Here is a 20,514-nt window from a genome sequence, read left to right on the forward strand (position 1 = left end):
CTCGAGAGCAGCTGTCATTCTTTCTTTTGTGGTGGTCAGCATTATAAACATGTGGGTCTTACCTTCCTAGAAGACTCATGTAGCAGTTGTAGCTGGACCAGAGTATAGTCCTACCTCTACCATTCTGGCTGTTTGACCTTAGGCACATCATTAAATATCCATATGCCTCAGTTTTCTTGTTTGTAAAATGGAAATGAAGCCAAATGTCTTTAACAGGTTCCTCTACTACTAAAATTCCAAGTCTTTGTATTTGAAATGGATTTTACAGTCCTGGCTAAAAATCTAGATGTTAATGAATGAGGATTCATCCTGGTATCTTCCTCTGTCAGTGTAATTGTAATGTTTTGTTCTGCAGTTTTTCCTACGATGGCAGGTGGAAACAAAAATTACAGACATCTGTGGACTTCCCGTTAGAAAATCTTGACTTGTCACAGTATGTTATTGGTCCAAAGAACAATTTGAAGAAATATAATTTGTTTTCTGTTTCAGTAAGTATCTCTTTGAACTGAAGACTTTTTGTTTCAAAGCAAGTTTAAAAAAAGTTTTAAGTGGTTTCCTACCTCATGGAAGAGTAAGAACAACATAAAGCTTTGAAACTATTGGCGTATTTTAAATAACAATTTTAACTGAATTGATTTTTTTTTCTATCTTGTTTGGCACAGAATCACTACGGTGGGCTGGATGGAGGCCACTACACAGCCTATTGTAAAAATGCAGCAAGACAACGGTGGTTTAAGTTTGATGATCATGAAGTTTCTGATATCTCCGTTTCTTCTGTGAAATCTTCAGCAGCTTATATCCTCTTTTATACTTCATTGGGACCACGAGTAACTGATGTAGCCACATAAGGAGACATAGGTTATAAACTAGTTATCTTTTAAAAGGCTCAGCAACACAACTCTTGAAATGCTTATCAGGATAATGGTAGCTATAGCTGGCCATTTAGAGGAATTCTAGGACAGTGGGAGCTGTGTTACTAGCACTATATAATTCCGGTCAGTGCTGACAAATAACATTTAACAAGTATTGCAGTAATCATCACTTACAGGTACCATTTATTTCAAAACAACTTTTTTAGTCTGCTCCAAAGTTAAAATAATTAACTAGCTAAGCATTATTATTCGACTGGTCTAAAAACTATTGTTATCTTTTTTTTTTCCTTTTCACTGTTATGGCCTTTTCACATTTCTAAATCCCATCTTGATATACTATGAATACTCTAGAATGATGTAAAGCAGATAGGAATGTATGTGTACATATTTATTGCATACTTGCACATCAAATCGATGTACATAGTTTAACACGTGGTCCTTTTGTGAAACCTAGAACTCAGAGGATTGCTTTTTTTCTTTCAGCCTATTTTGAGTTAACTTCAGTGCTTTCTTAGGGAAATGACAGGGCAAAGCAATTTTTCTGTTGGCTTTGGGCTGTATTTGTGCACTAAATCTTTATTCTAAAAAAAAAAATGGAAACTTTAATTTTTTTAAAACGAGAATTTCATTTACAGCTACATTAAAATCTTAATGAGAAAAATAATTTATAACCCTGTGGGTGTTCTGTCTTTAATATTGTATTATCAAATATAGGACAGTAAAACCATAGATTTTATATACACACGTGCTATATAATAACACCCAGAGTCATTCTTTCAAGACTAGTATTCTCACATATTGAGAATATTCATTCTAAATATTAAAGTAAAAATGCCGGGAGTCAGGCATGATTGCAAAGTGAACTGCATTATAAACTACATCTTTACAGAGTGATGTATTAAGAGGGTTAAAGGAGCTTATAATTTATTTAACCGAGGGACTCAGTTGCTATATATATAGTCAGTAAAACACTCCATATAAAAATAAGATTCTAAAAGTGCTTCAGAAAGAGACCACCATTAGCAGGCTCTCAGGGAGAAGATGAAAGGATGGGGTTCAAATTGTGAAGCTGACAACTTTTCATGTTTTACAATTAGTCTAAGAGACCACTTCTTGGCTAAATTATTATATCAAATATATTCAAATCATATTCTTAAACTCATCGAGCCATTTGAACAAAAATTATTTTTGTTTAGCTTCATGAGTATCTTTGGAAAATAATTTGTTGAATATATATGATTATGAGATATTTTCTGATAAACACTGAATTTTGAAACCTGAACTCACTATATAATTGCAGTGTTTTGAAGGCCTGCATCCATTAGCATTGCATTATATTCACACTGCCTTTTTTAGTGAACCAAGACCCATCTTCTGGACGACAGATTTATCTTAAGATGAAAGGTTGTATAACATGCCCACAAGGCATAAAAATGTTAATGATGCAAGTAAGTTCTAAGAGTTTAATGACCAAGCAAAACTCTACCACCAGATGCTGACTGCTTGTTTTGCAGTGTTCAGGAAACACCATTTTCCTGGCTCTTAACGCTTTTGTATTGGTATGGAAAAGGGCTGGCAGCTATAGAACAGGAGATCCATAGCATTTTGAACAGAAGTATCTGGAATCTCACTGACTCGTGTGTTATCAAAGCTATATCAGGCCTGGGTGACTGAATTCTTGCAGAAAGCAGTGTAGTGGCCACCATCCAAATCACCAAAATGGTTCTATGGGAGAAAGGAATGTCAAACTTAGTATTCACATATGAACACTAACTACTGGAACAGAAATGATAGGGCCAAGAGATGCTTTTTAAATTGTCCCTTATTCTAAATTAAAAGGAAGTGATAATTTTGTTGTTAAATCATGCATATAGCCTGACTGCTATATTGCTTCTCATTTCATTGTAACTACTTATATGTTGTGCCCATTGACTATCATCTGTGAATAAAGAAAGACAATATTTAGCAGCATCTGATTAATGTTTATCAGTGAACATTTAGTTAGCACTTAATATACATCAACTATTAAGCATTAAAGGAAATTTTACAATAAGAAGATAATTCAGGCCGGGCACAGTGGCTCACACCTGTAATCCCAACACTCTGGGAGGCTGAGGCAGGTGGATTGCTTGAGTCCAGGAGTTCAAGACCAGCCTGGGCAAAATAGCGAGACTCCATATCTTTTAAAGGAAAAAAAAAAAAAAAAAAAAGATGAGCTAGGCATAGTGGTGCACACCTGTAGTCCCAGCTACTTGGGAAGTTGGGGTGGGAGGATCTCTCGAGCCTGAGAGGTCGAGGCTGCAATGAGCCGTGATTGTACCACTGCACTCCAGCCTGGGTGACAGAGTGAGACCCTGTCTTAAAATTGTAAGTTCATTTACGTAAGATGGCTTCTTTTTTTTTTTTTTAAAGTTAGGATAAGCCACAGAAGAGACATTTAACATTAGAATAAGGATCTTAACTGCATATTGCTACAGCACAAATTGAGGGGGCTATGTAGCAACAACCCCTCAATCCCCCATAGGGTACAAAAAATAATGTATCTCATTTTCCTTTTTCCATGTCTTTCCTAACCCAGTATTGTTTGGAACAAAGGCATTAGAGAGGTGTACTTCCAAGGAGGTGTTATGGTGTATGATAAGGGTCAGCAAACCACGGCCCGTGGGTCAACTCCAGGCTGTTTTTGTAAGACCCATGCATTAGCAACGGGTTTTAAATTTTTATATGGTTGGGGAAAAGATCCAAGTAATAATAGTATTGTTATATGTGAAAATTTTATGAAATTCAAATGTCAATGTCCTTAAAGTTTTATGGGAACACAGTCATGCTCATTTGTTTACACTTTTCAGTGGCTGCTTTAATGATACAACAGTAAAACTGAATAGTTGCAGCCAATACCATATGGCTTATGAGGCCTAAAATATTTACTGTTTGGCCTTTAACAGAATAAGTTTGCTGACCTCTGCTGTAGAGGAAGAAAATTGATTATTTGTTAACTTATTTTTAATTTTTTGAGATGGAGTCTCTCTCTGTTGCCCAGGCTGGAATGCAGTGGCACGATCTCGGCTCACTGCAACCTCCGCCTCCCAGGTTCAAGCAATTCTTCTGCCTCAGCCTTCCAAGTAGCTGGGAGACTACAGGTGCCTGCCACCATGCCCAGCTAATTTTTTGTATTTTTAGTAGAGATGGGGTTTCACTGTGTTAGCCAGGATGGTCTCGATCTCGACCTCGGGATCCTCCCACTTCGGCCTCCCAAAGTTATTTATTTTTATTTGAGACAGAGTCTTGCTCTGTTGCCCAGGCTGGAGTGCAGTGACGTGATCTCAGCTCACCACAACCTCTGCTTCCTGGGTTAAAGCTCTTCTCCTGCCTCAGCCTCCCAAGTAACTGGGATTACAGGCACGCACCACCACACCCAGCTAATTTTTTGTATTTTTAGTAGAGATGGGGTTTCGCCGTGTTGGCCAGGCTGGTCTTGAACTCCTGACCTCAAGTGATCCACCTGCCTCCACCTCCCAAAGTGCTGGGATTACAGGCGTGAGCCACTGCACCCAGCCTATTTATTTTTAGAAGCAGTTTCTTGCTATGTTGCCCAGGCTGTACATGAATTCCTAGGCACAAGCAGTCCTCTCACTTCAGGCCCCCAAATAGCTGGGACTACAGGCATACACCACCATGTCCAGAATGAAAATGGATCTGACTAGTTAATTCCAACGTGAATTCGGGTGTAATAGTACATTGTGACCTTAGCGAAATTATTTGACCTTTCTGAGCTTTAATTTCTCATCTATTAACATGGCTTGTTTTGTATAGCTGTTATCAAATATCTCATGTATTGAGGGCTAGTACACAGGAGTTATTTATTCAATATTCCCTTCAACCTTCGTCTTCCCCACCTCTCTCCTTACAGGTAATAGAAATATCTGAAATTCACATTTAAAAGATCAAGGTTCCGCCAGGCCTGGTGGCTCACGCCTGTAATCCCAGCACTTTGGGAGGCTGAGGCAGGCGGATCACTTGAGGTCAGGAGTTTGAGACTAGCCTGGCCAACATGGTGAAAATCCATCTCTTCTAAAAATATAAAAATTAGCTGGGCATGGTGGCGCATGCCGGTAATCCCAGCTACTTGGGAGGCTGAGGCAGAATCATTTGAACCTGGGAGATGGAGGTTGCAGTGAGCTGAGATCATGCCATTGCATTCCAGCCTGGGCGGAGCCCTAAACAGGAAATTTAACAACAGTATGGTGTGTGGTTTATGCTTTGTGACTGCCTGGGCGTAAAGACAGTCCCTAGTTTCTGTAACCAGTATGCTCGGGTTTTAAAGGTCACGCAAGGACACTCGAGGTAAAGTCTTAGGCCCCCCTACAAGGTGAGAAGTTGGATTGAGATCCACATACAAAGCCAGGACCTTTAAAGACATTCACCCTCAATGGAAGGATTAAAAAACAAAATCCACCCTCTAGTGCTTGTGTTAGCTTGGACTCATGGTACAGAGAATAAAAGTCATTCCTGGGAATTTGTCACCATAGACCTACCTTTTCACCAGTTTGGGATTCAAATTTATACTACCTGTGTGGTCTGCGAATCCTGTGAACTTAATATGAAAAGTATTTCTAGGGCAGTTGCCAGAAGGAAACAGAATTTCTAGATTGTTGCATGTTAACTCAGACCTAACAGGATATCCACATATGAAACCCCAATGAAGTTGAGATCACAATTCAAAATAATAGAACATGCAAGGAAACAATTTATCATAAGAGTCAGAAGGCAATAAGATTTAAACCCCCAAGGACTTTAGATAATAGAATTATTAAGCAGAGGCTACAAATAAAGTATATTTAAATATATTTAGAAGAAGGAAACAAACTTTAGAAACTAAATAGAATTTTCAGAAATGAGAAATACAACATAGTTGGCCGTCCATATTTACGGGCTCTGCATCTTCAGAATCAACTAATGTGATGGGAAAGATTTGAAAAAATAATACAACAATAAAAATATACATATTTTAAAATACAGTGTAACAACTATTTACATAGTATTTATATTGTATTAGATATTATAAGTAATCCAGAGATGACTTAAAGTATATGGGAGGATGTGCATAGGTTACATGCAAATACTACTCCAGGCCTGGCATGGTGGCTCACACGTGTAATCCCAACGTTTTTGGGGGATGGAGGTGGGCAGACTGCTTGAGCCCAGGAGTTGTAGACCAGCCTGGGCAACATGGCAAAACCCTGTCTACACAAAATACAAAAATTGACCAGGCATAGTGGCACGTGCCTATAGTCCCAGCTACTTGGTAGGTTGAGGTGGGAGAATCACCTGAGCCCAGGAGGTCGAGGCTACAGTGAGCTGTGACTGAGCCACTGCTCTCCAGCCTGGCAACAGAATGAGACCTTGTCTCAAAAAACAAAAACAAAAAACACCAGAAAAGACACCATTTTATATAGGGCCCTTGAGCATCTGTGGATTTTGATAGTCAAAGGGATCCTGGAACCAACTCCCTGCAGATACTGAGGTACAACTGTACTGGAAATTAACTTAATGAAGATATTAGGACACAGAAAATGAATAAACCGGACTGGGCGCGGTGGCTCATGCCTGTAATCCTAGCACTTTGGGAGGCTGAGGCGGGTGGACCATGAGGTCAGGAGTTCAAGACCAACCTGGTACACATGGTGAAACCCTGTCTCTATTAAAAAAAACAAAAAAAATTAGCTGGGCCTGGTGGCGTGCACCTGTAATCCCAGCTACTTGAGAGGCTGAAGCAGGAGAATCGCTTGAACCCGGGAGGTGGAGGTTGCAGTGAGCCAAGATCGTGCCATTGCACTCCAGTGTGGGTGACAGAGTGAGACTCCATCTCAAAAAAAAAAAAAAAAGAATAAACTATAAAATGAAGTTGGGGAAATTAGCAAGAATGGAGTAGTGATGGAGAATACGTGTTAAGAGGCATGAAAAATTGAATGAGAATATTCAGCGTATGTCCTGTAGAAGTTCTAGGAGGAGAGAATCGAGTAGGGGAGCAAGGCAATATTAAAAGTGATAATGGCTGAAAATGATTAATGAGACATGAATCTTCACATTTAGGAAATGCAGCGAGCCAGGGATAAATAAAAATAATACTGCAGAACAACAGAGACAAAGAGAAAAAGCTTAAAAGCAACCAGAAAGAAAAAGAGAGTTTACCCACAAGAATCTAACCTGCTGGTAGAAGTTCTCCATAGCAGCCATAGAAATCAGAGACAATACAGTAGCTTCAAAATAATAGAGAAAAATAACTGTCAATCTGGAATTTGATTTCTAGTTATCATCCAAGAATGAAAGTGAATTAAAGACTTCTCAAAGACTGAGAGACTTCAGGATAACAGACCCTCACTGAAAAGCCTACTGAAATATATGCCACATGAATTTTAAAAACTCAATGAAGGAAGAAGTGATACATAATAGACAGTGATTAACAAAAAAGACTGATGAAGATCCGGGCAAATATAACCCAATATGAACAGTAGAAAACCATGATAATGTCTCCTTTGGAGGCATATTAAAAAATTAAAAACCGGCTGGGCATGGTGGTTCACACCTGTAATCCCAGCACTTTGGAAGGCCAAGGCAGGAGGATCGTTTGAGCCCAGGAGTTTGAGACCAGCCTGGGCAACATAGTGAGACCTGGTCTCTAAAAAAAATAAAAAAGTTGGCCATGCACAGTAGCATGCCTGTAGTCCCAGCTACTTGGCAGGCAGAGGCAGGAGGATCCCTTAAGCCCAGAGTTCAAAACTGTAGTGAGCTATGATTCATTGCACTAGTGCACTCCAGTCTGGGCAACAGAGTGAGACCCTGTCTCAAAAACAAAAGATGCTGAAAACAGTAGTTCAGTGATCAGAATTACAGTGTTCTAAGAGCTTTCCATTTCTTTGGGAGCAGAGTATAAAGATCTTGATTAACTTTAGGCTTTAAGTATGAAAGCTGTCGTTTTTTAGCATAATTACTAAAGAATCAAAATGTGTAACTTCCAAAGTTGTAGAGGGAAAATAAAGAAAGCTTTATCAGTTTAGTAGCAGCAAGAACAACAGGGGAAAACAACACAGCAGAGGTCCCCAACCCCCCCAGGCTGCCTGTCCCTGACCTGTTCAGGACCTGGCTGCACAGCAGGAAGCGAGCGGCAAACCTACCCTGAGCACCGCCTCCTGTCAGATCAGCTGCTGCATTAGATTCTCACAGCAGCACAAACTCTATTGTGAACTGCGCATGTGAGGGATCTAGGTTGCGTGCTCCTTATGAGAATCTACTGCCTGATTTTCTGAGGTGGAACAGTTTAATCCCAAAACCATGCCCGCCCCGGCCCCCATCCATGGGAAAAAAACCGCATCAGTGGAAAAATTGTCTTCCACAAAAATCAGTCCCTGGTGCCAACAAGGTTGGGGACTGCCGAATTAGAAAAATAAGGCTAACATAAACACAAAAGAAGATGACGACAAGTAAATCCGAATTTATTACTAGTTGAAATATATGGGATGTAGTAAATTTACCAAATATTTACTGGATTTTAAATATCCAGTTCTAGCCAGGCGCGATGGCTCACGTCTATAATCTCAGCACTTGGGGAGGCCGAGGGGGGCGGATCACGAGGTCAGGAGATCAAGACTATCCTGGCCAACACGGTGAAACCTCATCTCTACAAAAATACAAAAAATTAGCCGGGCATGGTGGCAGGCGCCTATAGTCCCAGCTACTCCGGAGGCTGAGGCAGGAGAATGGCATGAACCCAGGAGGTGAAGCTTGCAGTGAGCCGAGATCGTGCCACTGCATTCCAGCCTGGGCGACAGAGCGAGACTTCATCTCAAAAAAAAAAAAAAAAAAAAAAAAAAAAAAAAATCCAGTTTTAGGCCAAGTGTGGTGGCTCATGCCTGTAATCCCAACACTTTGGGAGGCCAAGGCAGGCGGATCACCTGAGATCAGGAGTTCCAGACCACCCTGGCCAACATGGCAAAACCCGGTCTCTACTAAAAATACAAAAATTAGCTGGGTCTGGTGGCACATGCCAGTAATCCCAACTACTTGGGAAGCTGAGGCAGGAGAGTTGCTTGAACCTGGGAGGTGGAGGTTGCAGTGAGCCAAGATCATGCCACTGCACTCCAGCCTGGGGCACAGAGTGAGACTCTGTCTCTAAAACAAAACAACAACAACAACAAATCCAGTTCTATGCACTATATAACATTTAGAACTCAGAAAAGGTGTATTTCCCTTGAGCATCATGTTGGTGCTTAAAATGTTTCAGATTTTGGAGCATTTTGGATTTTCAGATTAGGGATGCTCAACTTGTCGTAGGTAGATATGACCAAGAGAAAGCTGAAGTAGCTATACATCAGCTAAAATGGTCCCTAAGATAGAATGCATTGTAAATGAGTCACTTTATAATGAAAAAAGGTTTAAATCACCCAAATTGTATAATTTGAAACTGCTACCTACCTAACAAAACAGACTTGTTAAAAACAAATGACAGAACTATAGGGAAGTTTTGACAAGTCTACCATCATAATGGAAGATTTCAACTATTGATCAAGCAGACAAAAATATTAGTATAGATACAGCTTTTACAATATATACTTAGATGAGTATCTGACTCCTGAAATAGAAGTGCACTGTCTCAACAAATGTAAAAGAGTTAGTTTAGGCCAGGCACGGTGGCTCATGCCTGTAATCCCAGCACTTTGGGAGGCCAAGGCAGGCGAATCACGAGGTCAGGAGTTCGAGACCAGCCTGGCCAACATGGAGAAACCCCGTCTCTACTAAAAATACAAAAAATTAGCTGGGCATGGTGTCGGCTGCCTGTAATCCCAGCTACTGAGGAGGCTGAAGCAGGAAAATCGCTTGAAACTGGGCGGCGGAGGTTGCAGTGAGCCGAGATGGTGCCAGTGCACTCTAGCCCGGGCGACAGTGCAAGACTCTGTCTCAAAAAAAAAAAAAAAAAAAAAAAAAGATTAGTTTAATTTAGACCCTAGTCTTTGAACACAATACAATTAGCAGTCAATACAAAATGATACCCCCACAAAAAATCAATACTTTTGGAAATTAAAAAAACACTTCTAAGTAACTTTATAAATAAATTATAAAAGTAAAACACTTAGAAGTAAATAGTAATGAAAATACTATATCAAAACATGGGATGCACTGATGTCTGAGAATGTCTTAAAAATAATACGATGCCAAGAAGAGAGTGGGTCAGTATTAAGATGAATTGATCATTTATTTTATATTCAAATATCTTGCTTCAGCAAGCTAGTTGATGGATGCATGGCGGTTTGTTATGCTGTCCAATTTTGTATATGTTTGAAATATTCTATAATAAAAAAAGGCAGAGAAAGTGGGAGATAGACATTTGTAGTTTTAAATACTTATATCTTAAAGGATAGACTGAGTGTTAATACACTGGACACTCAGTTTAAAACATTAAAACATAACAGAATAAACCCTAAAAGAGTAGAGGGAAGAGATAACACTGTAAGAGGAATAACCCATAAAGCAGAAAACAAAGATGTAATACAGAAGATTTAAAAAAAGGTAAAAGTTGGTGTTTTAAGACAAAATAATTTGGATGTTAGCCTGCCACAGTGGTTCATGCCTATAATCCCTGCACTTTGGGAGGCCAAGGCAGATGGATCGCCTGAGTCCAGGAGTTTGAAACCAGCTTGGGCAACATGGCAAAACCCCGTCTCTATAAAAAAAAAAAGAGTACAGGCCAGGCGCGGTGGCTCACGCCTGTAATCCCAGCACTTTGGGAGGCCGAGGCGGGCGGATCACGAGGTCAGGAGATTGAGACCATCCTGGCTAACACGGTGAAACCCCATCTCTATTAAAAATACAAAAAATTACCTGGGCACGGTGGCGGGCGCCTGTAGTCCCAGCTACTTGGGAGGCTGAGGCAGGAGAATGGCGTGAACCCGGGGTCGGAGCTTGCAGTGAGCCAAGATCGCGCCACTGTGCTCCAGCCTGGGCGACAGAGCGAGACTCCGTCACAAAAAAAAAAAAAAAAAAAAAAAAAAAAATTACAAAATTAGCTGGACATGGTGTTGTGCCTGTAGTTCCATCTACTTGGGAGGCTGAGGTGGGAGGATGGCTCGAGCCTGGGAGGCAGAGGTTGCAGTGAGCCAAGATCACACCACTGCACTCCAGCCTGGGAGACAGAGTGAGACCCTCTCTCAAAAATAGTAACTTGGACGTCAATAGTAAGATTTAGAGAATAAGAGACAAGGCGGCCGGGCGCGGTGGCTCATGTAATCCCAGCACTTTGGAAGGCTGAGGCAGGCGGATCACCAGGTCAGGAAATTGAGACTATCCTGGCTAACACGGTGAAACACCGTCTCTACTAAAAATACAAAAAATTAGCCGGGCATGGTGGCGGGCGCCTGTAGTCCCAAGCTACTCAGGAGGCTGAGACAGGAGAATGACTTGAACCCGGGAGGCGGAGCTTGCCGTGAGCTGAGATCGTGCCATTGCACTCCAGCCTGGGCGACAGAGCGAGACTGCGTCTCAAAAAATAAAATAAAATAAAATAAAATAAAAAAGAGACAAGTCAACGATAAAATTAAAAATGAAAAAACATGTAATAGCTACAGATCCTGAATAAATTTATTGTTAATACCCTAAAAACTTTATGCCAGCCAACTGAGACCTTAGATGAAATAGACAAATATCTGGAGAATAAGTTACCAAAATGACTGAAGAGAAATACATGGCTCACACCTATATTTTTTACAGAAATTGACAAGGGCCAGGAATAATCGAAATACTACTGAAAAATAAGAATAAAGTTGTGATGGTAATGACTTAGGGAATAATGATGGTTCTTGCTCTGCCAGATATCAATGTTTATTTCAAAGCTATAGCTATAATTAATATTCATAAGCTAAATTAAGAATTAATTCAATATTAATTTAATAAATTTAATATTTTATAGCTATAATTAATACAGTACGGAATTAGCCCAAATGTGAACAAATTGACCAACAGACACACACAGCATAGGAAAACCAGCATTATATGTTACTGAGGAAAAGAAGAGGCTGAGACATTTGGTTATTCATATGCAGAAAAATGAAATTGAATCCCTAATTTATACTACATTTTTGTCAGAAGTGCAAAACAATTTAAATGTTTGGAAGATATGTAGGTAAATATCTTTGTAATTCCAGGGTTGGAAAGGATTTCTTAAATGAGACACAGAAAAGGACTAACTAGAAAAGATTGATGTTCCAACCAAATTAAAACTTGATTGTCAGCAATTACAATAAGATACAACAACCAAATGCAGTTTGTGAATTTTGGATGGATTCTGGTCTTTGAAAAAAAATGCTACTAAAAAAAAAAACCTTGTGACAATTGATATTTGAATATGAATCTATGAATATGAGTGATGGAATTTTAAATTTTCTTACATATAATTCTGCTATTGTGGGTATGTAGAAGAATGTGGTTAAGGGATTATTTTGATCTATGAAGTGTCACGATACAAGATTTAAATCAGCAAAAAGTTAGATATACGTGTGTATAGATGTGCACATATATATGTATAGAGAGTGAAAGTAATAAAAGTGTATACACTGCTAAATGTTAATAACTGAATCTAGCTGAAATGTACACCAATGTACACCAATGTTTTGTTTTTTGGTTTTTTTTTTAGAGATGGAGTCTCGCTCTGTCTCCCAGGCTGGAGTGCAGTGGCGCTATCTCGGCTCACTGCAAGCTCCGCCTCCTGGGTTCACGCCATTCTCCTGCCTCAGCCTCCTGAGTAGCTGGGACTACAGGCGCCCGCCACCATGCCCGGCTAATTTTTTTTGTATTTTTAGTAGAGACGGGGTTTCACCGTGTTAGCCAGGATGGTCTCGATCTCCTGACCTCGTGATCCGCCTGCCTTGGCCTCCCAAAGTGCTGGGATTACAGGCGTCAGCCACCGTGCCCGGCCGATGTACACCAATGTTCTCTGTACAATTCTTTCAGATTTTCTGAATGTTTGCAAAGTTTTATTTTAAAAACTGGAGAGAGAGCACTTGAAAAGATGCTCAACATCATTAGTCATTAGGAAAATGCAACTCAAAACCATGACATACCAGTTCATACCTACTTTGTATGGGATAGAATAAAAAATGAGAGGCAGTAACAAGTTCGGTTGAGGATGTGGGGAAACTGGAACCTTAGTTCCAGTTGCTGGTGGGAACGTAAAATGCTGCTGCCACTTTGGAAAACAATTTGGCAGTTCCTCAAAAAATTAACCAGAGTTACCATATGACCCAGAAATTTCACACTTAGGTATATACCCAACAGAAATGAAAACATGTTTACAGAAAATCCTGTACATAAATGTTCATAGCAGCATTACTGATGACAGCCAAAAGTGGAAACAAGCCAAATGTCCATCACTGGATGGATTAAGGAAATGTGGTATATCCTATACAATGGAATATTATTTGGCAATAAAAAGGAATGAAGTACAGATACATGCTATGACATGAATGAAACTTGAAAACATTATGCTGAATAAAAGAAAATAAAAACAGAAGGTCATATATTCTATGATTCTGTTTATTAAAATACCCAGAATAGGCCAGGCACTGTGGCTCACGCCTGTAATCCCAGCACCTGGGGGAGCCGAGGCAGGTGGATCACTTGACGTCTGGAGTTTGAGACCAGCCTGGGCAATATAGCAAAACCCCATCTCAACCAAAATACACAAAAATTATTGGGGCATGGTGGTGCACACCTGTGGTCCCAGCTACTCGAGGGAGGGAGGAGGGAAGATCACTTGAGCCAGGGAGGTTGAGGCTGCAGTGAGCTGAGATTGCACCATTGCACTCCAGCCTGAGCAAGAGTGAGATATTGTCTCAAAAAATAAAATAAATAAAATTTTAAAAATACGCAGAATAGGCACATCTATAGAAATATATAAAGTAGAGGCCAGGAGAAGTGGTTCATGCCTGTAATCCGAGCACTTTGGGAGGCCAAGGTGGGTGCGCCACTTGAGGTCAGGAGTTCAAGACCAGCCTGGTCAACATGGTGAAACCCCACCTCTACTAAAAATACAAAAATACACCTGTAGTCCCAGCTACTCGGGAGGCTGAGTTACGAGAATCCCTTGAACCTGGGAGGCGGAAGTTGCAGTGAGCTGAAATCATGCCACTGCACTCCAGCCTGGGCAACAGAGCAAGACTCTGTTAAAAAAAAAAAAAATAGCGAGAGATCGAGAGAGAGTGCACGTGAGAAGACTAGTAGTTGCTATGGACTGGGGGAGAAGGAACGGGTTACAGGGTTTCTTTTGGGGATAACGAAAATGTTCTAAAACTGGACTGTGGTGATAACTGCACAACTCTGTGAATGTACTAAAAACTACTGAACTGGCCAGGCACAGTGGCTCACACCTGTAATCCCAGCACTTTGGGAGGCCCTGAGATGGGCAGATCACTTGAGGTCAGGAGTTCCAGACCAGTCTGGCCAACATGGTGAAACCACATCTCTACTAAAAATATTTTTAAAAATTAGCCAGGCATGGTGGTGCACCTGTAATCCCAGCTACTTGGGAGGCTGGGGCATGAGAATCATTTGAAACCAGGGGGTGGAGGTTGCAGTGAGCCGAGATCACACCACCGCACTCCAGCCTGGGCGACAGAGCCAGACTCTGTCTCAAAAACAAACAAAACAAAAACAACAAAAAACACAACTGAACACATTTAAGGTGAATTCTGTGGTATGTGAACTATCTCTAAGAACTTCTTTTTATTTAAGTTGGGAAACAAAAAGATCATGTACAACAAACCAAAAACAAAAAAGTTATTTCTAACCCATGTAACATATAACAAGGATCTAGAACATGTAAATGACTCTTTCCAATCAATAAGAAGAAAAATAACCCAGTTTGTAAAAAATGTGCAAAAGACAAATATTTCATACAATAGGAAAAACTAAAATGAGATAATTTTGTATCCATTAGATGGCAAAAATTAAGAAGTCTGATGATCCTGGTAGGGGTATGTATTGGTATAATCACTTGTAGAAAGTTAAATATGCACATACTTTATGATCTAAGTGACCTCACTCCTAAGTATATACATGAGAGAAACTCTTATGCACATATATATGCAGGAATGTCTGCATAATGTTGTTCATGCCAGCAAAAATTTGGAAACAATGAAATATCAATAGGAAAATGGATAATTTATGATATATTCACACAATATACATCATAGGCTAGTGAAATTATAACCACATGCAACAATATGGATATATCTTTAAAATATTTAATGAAAAAGTATGCTTGGCGCGGTAGCTCACACCTGTAATCCCAGCACTTTGGGAGGATGAGGGAGGTGGATCACCTGAGGTCATGAGTTCGAGACAAGAGCGAAACTGTCTAAAAAAAAAAAAAAAAAAAAGAGTGAAGAATCAAGCCACAGAAGGTAATTTAAAAATGTACACTCAAGATTTAAAAAGAACTACAATTCCATAAGAAAAAGGCAGGCCACAGAATAGGAAAAAGAATAAAAGACTTGTTTAGGCATTTCACAAAAGAAAGTATACAAATTTAAGTAGTTATTTAAACCACAATGCCATTCTACTATATGGGCAACCAGAAGGGCCAAAACAAAACGAACAAAAGACTACCAAGTGTTAACAAGGATTTAAGGCAACTGAAACTTCCAGTCATTGCTGGTGGGGGTATGAATTGGTACAGTCGCTTTGGAAAGCTACTGAGCAGTATGTACTAAAGCCAGACATATGCGTATTTCTGAACCAGGAGTTTCACTCCTAGGTATGTACTCAAAAGAACTGTGTACACTATGTTCACCAAAAAACAAGAATGTTTATAGCAACCCTCTTTGCATTAGTCAAAAGCTAGTAATTACCCAAAAGTTCCTGAATGGTAGAATGAATTACTAAATTGTAGTATTTTCATACAATGGAATACTATACAGCAATGAGAATGAATAAATTACAATATAAACAACAATATGGATGAACATTACATAATTTTGAATGAAAGGAGCCAGACACAAAAAAAGGATATACTGTACAATTCCATTTATACGAAGCATAAAATCAGGCAAAAATCTATAAATCTGTCCTGCCAGAAGTCAGTGGTTTTCCAGACTCGAAGGCAGGTACAAGCACAGTTAGGGTGCTGGTAACATTCTGTTTAAACTCTGTTCTGCTGGTTACATGGGTATGTTCACTTGAAAATCCATCAAGTTTTATCCTCATGGTTTGTGTACTTTTCTGTATATATGTTTCACTTCAATAAAGTTTATTTTTGGTCAAGGGCAGTGTCTCATACCTGTATTCCCAGCACTTTGAGAGGCCGAGGCAGCCCGACTGCTTAAGCCCAGGAGTTCCACAGCAGCCTGAGGAACATGGAGAAACCCTTCTCTACAATTTTTTTTCTTTTTGAGATGGGAGTCTCGCTGTGTCACCAGGCTGGAGTGCAGCGGCGCGATCTCGGCTCACTGCAACCTCCGCCTCCTGGGTTCAAGTGATTCTTCCTCAGCCTCCCAAGTAGCTGGGATTACAGGCGCATGCCACCACACCCAGCTAATTTTTTTTATTTTTAGTAGAGATGGGGTTTCACCATGTTGGCCAGGATGGTCTCCATCTCCTGACTTCGTGATCTGCTTGCCTCAGCCTCCCAAAGTGCTGGGATTACAGGCGTGAGCCACCACCCCTGGCCTACAAATTTTTTTAAAAAATTAGCTGGGCATGATGGCACTTGCCTGTCGTCCCAACCACTCAGGAGGCTGAGATGCGAGAATCACTTGAGCTCAGGTGGTGGAGGTTGCAATGAGCCGAGATTGTGCACCACTACTTCAGCCTGGGAAAAAGAGAGAGACACAGTCTAAAAAAAAAAAAAAAAAAAAGTATTTTTTAAAAAACATGAAGAAATAGAAATCTTGACTAGACCTATAATAGCTAAAACAGCCTGAGTCAGTATTTTAAAATCTACCCACCAAGAAAAACGAAATTCCAAGACCAGATGGTTTTCCTGTTCAATTCTACCAGATTTTCAAGAAACAGATTTTTATTTTATACAATCTGTGCCAGAGAAAAGAGTGACAAACTCACTTTATGAGGCTTGTGTTTTGTTGTTGTTGTTGTTGTTTTTGAGACGGAGTCTTGCTCTGTCGCCCAGGCTGGAGTGCAGTGGCGCGATCTCGGCTCACTGCAACCTCTGCCTCCCGGGTTCACGCCATTCTCCTGCCTCAGCCTCCCAAGTAGCTGAGATTATGGGCATGTGCCACCACGCCCGGCTAATTTTTGTATTTTTGGTAGAGACGGGGTTTCACTATGTTGGCCAGGCTGGTCTCGAACTCCTGATCTCAGATGATCTGCCTGCCTCAGCCTCCCAGAGTGCTGGGATTACAGGTGTGAGCCACCACACCCAGACTATGAGGCTTATTCTAATAAGACTGACCCCCAAAACAGAAAAGGACAGTTTAAGAAAGAAAATTATAGGTTACTTTCTCAATTGTGATAATAGATGTAAAATATATATGTGTATATATATATATATATATATTTAAACACTTTTAGCAAAAACAAAATTAAAGAATAAATCAGTTGATGTAATTTACTGCATTAATAGATTAAAGGAGAGATTTAGGACTGTAGTTCTCTTGTCTGGTAAAACATACATATGCATACACATATACAAAAATTTCACATGTTAAGTGTGTGTCAATGCATTCTACAGTACTGTTTCTAAAAGCAAAATATTTGATATAACCTAACTGCCCAGCAACAGGAGAAATGATAGATACTTACACAATGGATTAATAAAAGCAGTTCAAATGAATGTACTAAAGCTAACGTATCAATCAAATTACAAAAATATGTAAATTTTGACATCAAAATCATAAAATGTTGAGGGGGAGTAAAAGTATAGTTTTTGATTGCTATTAAAATGTTAAGTTGTTATCAGCTTAAAATAGCCTGTAGTAAGTAAAAGATGTTTTATGTTATCCCCATGGTAACCACAAAGCCAAAACCTAAAAAGAAAGGATTCAAATCATACCACCACAGAAAACCATCAAATCACAAAGGAAGACAGCAAGAGAGGAAGAAACAAAGGCTCTACAAAATAACCAGAAAACTACAAAATGGCAGTAGCAAATATCAATTATTACCTTAAGTGTAAATGGATAAAACAAACAAACAAACAAACATGCCAGATGTGGAGGCTCACACCTGTAATCCCAGCATTTTGGGAGCCGAGGCAGGTGGATCACGAGGTCAGGAGTTCGAGACCAGACTGCCCAAAGAGACCAGCCTGGCCAACATGGTGAAACCCCATCTCCACTAAAAATACAAAAAGTAGCCGGGCGTGGTGGCGGGCGCCTGTAATCCCAGCTACTCAGAAGGCTGAGGCAGGAGAACTGCTTAAACCCAGGAGGCGGAGGTTGCAGTGAGCCAAGATTACGCCATTGCACTCCAGCCTGGGCGACAGAGTGAGACTCCAAATCAAAAACAAATGAAAAACAGACCCAACTATATACTAGCTACGAGAGGCAGTAGGGATACATATAGACTGAAAGTGAAGAAATGGAAAGAGATATTCCAGGTAAATGGACACTAAAAGAAAGCTAGAGTGGTAGCTATATATATATATATATATATATACAGAGTGGTAGACAAAACAGACTAAGTCAAAAACTGTAAACTGAGACAAAGAAGGTCATTATATAATGATAAAATGGTCAATTCATCAAGGGGATATAGCTATTATAAATATATATGCACCTAATGTTAGAGCACCTAAACATATAAAGCAATTACTAATTAATATGAGAGGAGAGACTGAAATGCAGTAACAGTAGGAGACTTCAATACCCCACTTGCAACAATGAACACATTATCCAGACAAAAAATACAGAAACATTGGACTTGAATTATACTTTAGACCAAACAGATCTGGCATATACAGAACATTCCATCCAATAGCAACAGAATAAACATTATTCTCAAGCACATGCAGAATATTCTCCAGGATCATATGTTAGAGGTCATACAATAAGACTTTAAAAATGTAAGCGGAGGCCAGGTGTGGTGGCTCATGCCTGTAATCCCAGCACTTTAGGAGGCTGAGGCAGGTGGATCACTTGAGGTCAGAAGTTCAAGACCAGCCTGGCCAATGTGGTGAAACCCCATCTTTACTAAAAATACAAAAAATTAGCCAGGTGTGTTGGTGGGCGCCTGTAATCCCAGCAACTTGGGAGGCTGAGGCAGGAGAATCACTTGAACCTGGGAGGCAGAAGTTATGGTTAGCAGAGATCACACCATTGGACTCCAGCCTAGGCAACAAGAGCAAAACTCCATCTCAAAAAAAAAAAAATAAGAGGATTGAAATCATATTAGGTACTTTTCCAATCACAATGGCATTAAACCAGAAATTAATAACAGGGGAAATCATGGGAAATTCATAAATATGTAGAAATTAAACAGTATGCTCCTGAATCACCAATGGGTCCAAAAATAAATCAAAAAGGAAATCATAAAATACCTTGAGACACATGAAAATGGAGACATAACATACAAAAACTCATGATATGCAGCAAAAGCAGTTTTTTTTGTTTGTTTTTTCTTTTGAGACCTGGTCTCACTGTCACCCAGGCTGGAGTACAGTAGCATGATCATGGCTCACTGCAGCCTCAACCTCCTGGGTTCAAGTAATCCTCCCATCTCATCCTCCCAAGTAGCTGCAACTACAGGTATGTGCCACTATGTCTAGGTAATTTTTTCAATTTTTGTAGAGACAGGGTTTCACCATGGCTGGTCTCTAACTACTGGGCTCAAGCCTTGGCCCCTCTAAGTGCTGGGATTAATGACGTGAGTCATCACACCCAGCCAACAAAAGCAGTTCTAAGAGGGAAATTTATAGCAATAAACACCTATATCAGAAAAGAAGAAAGGCATCACATTACCTGACTTTAAAATATACTATAAAACTATAGTAACCAAAACAGTATGGTACTGGTATAAAAACAGACACATAGGCCAATGGAACAGAATAGAGAACCCAGAAATAAATACATGTATTTACAGCCAACTGATTTTTCTTTCTTTTTCTTTTTTTGTTTTTTTTTTTGAGACAGAGTCTCGCTCCATCACCCAGGCTGGAGTGCAGTGGCGCGATCTTGGCTCACTGCAAGTTCCGTCTCCTGGGTTCACACCATTCTCCTGCCTCAGCCTCCTGAGTAGCTGGGGCTACAGGCACCCACCACCACGCCCGGCTAATTTTTTTTTATATTTTTAGTAGAGACGGGGTTTCACCGCAGTCTCGATCTCCTGACCTCGTGATCCGCCCACCTCGGCCTCCCAAAGTGCTGGGATTACAGGCATGAGCCACTGCGCCCAGCCCAGCCAACTGATTCTTCAAAAGGTGCCAAGAACATACCATGGGGAAAGGACACCTGCTTCAATAAATTGTACTGGAAAACTGGATATCCATATGCAGAAGAATAAAACCAGACCCCCATCTCTCACCACATTAAAAAAAAAAATCAACTCAAACTGGATTAATGACTTAAACATAAGACCTGAAACGATAAAACTACTAGAAGATAACACAAAGAAAATGCTTCAGGATATTGGTCTAAGCAAA

General features: G+C 40.1%; 2 protein-coding genes across 8 annotated transcripts in view, besides 1 other annotated feature; one reads left to right on the forward strand and one right to left on the reverse strand.

Moving 5' to 3' along the window:
* Nucleotides 1-16,181, forward strand: part of USP8 (ubiquitin specific peptidase 8) — a 90,017-nt gene extending 73,836 nt beyond the window's left edge. For all 3 annotated transcript variants that reach the window (NM_001128610.3, NM_005154.5, NM_001283049.2), the window contains 2 exons: nucleotides 356-488; nucleotides 663-16,181. In NM_001128610.3, the coding sequence (NP_001122082.1) occupies nucleotides 356-488; nucleotides 663-848 (319 nt within the window). In that variant the 3' untranslated portion in view covers nucleotides 849-16,181. The remainder of the gene's footprint in view (nucleotides 1-355; nucleotides 489-662) is intronic.
* The window catches only part of USP50 (ubiquitin specific peptidase 50), a 53,642-nt gene that overhangs the window by 5,216 nt on the left and 27,912 nt on the right, over nucleotides 1-20,514 (reverse strand). Inside the window, exon 7 of one of the 5 annotated variants that reach the window (NM_203494.5) lies at nucleotides 2,322-2,597. The exons of the other annotated variants lie outside the window; for them this stretch is intronic. Coding sequence (NP_987090.2) covers nucleotides 2,529-2,597 — 69 coding nt within the window. The 3' untranslated portion in view covers nucleotides 2,322-2,528. Of the gene's footprint in view, nucleotides 1-2,321; nucleotides 2,598-20,514 lie in introns of those variants that run through there. 5 annotated transcript variants of the gene reach the window in all.
* Nucleotides 10,894-11,128: a silencer, noted in NCBI's record as "fragment chr15:50801331-50801565 (GRCh37/hg19 assembly coordinates)". NCBI's record gives its function as "represses an EF-1alpha promoter that drives an FKBP-Casp9 reporter gene in an ReSE screen in K562 erythroleukemia cells {active_cell/tissue: K562}" and the evidence as "EXISTENCE:reporter gene assay evidence [ECO:0000049][PMID:32094911]".

The sequence above is a fragment of the Homo sapiens genome, chromosome 15, assembly GCF_000001405.40.
Source record: "Homo sapiens chromosome 15, GRCh38.p14 Primary Assembly".
NCBI classification, from domain to species: Eukaryota; Metazoa; Chordata; class Mammalia; order Primates; family Hominidae; genus Homo; species Homo sapiens.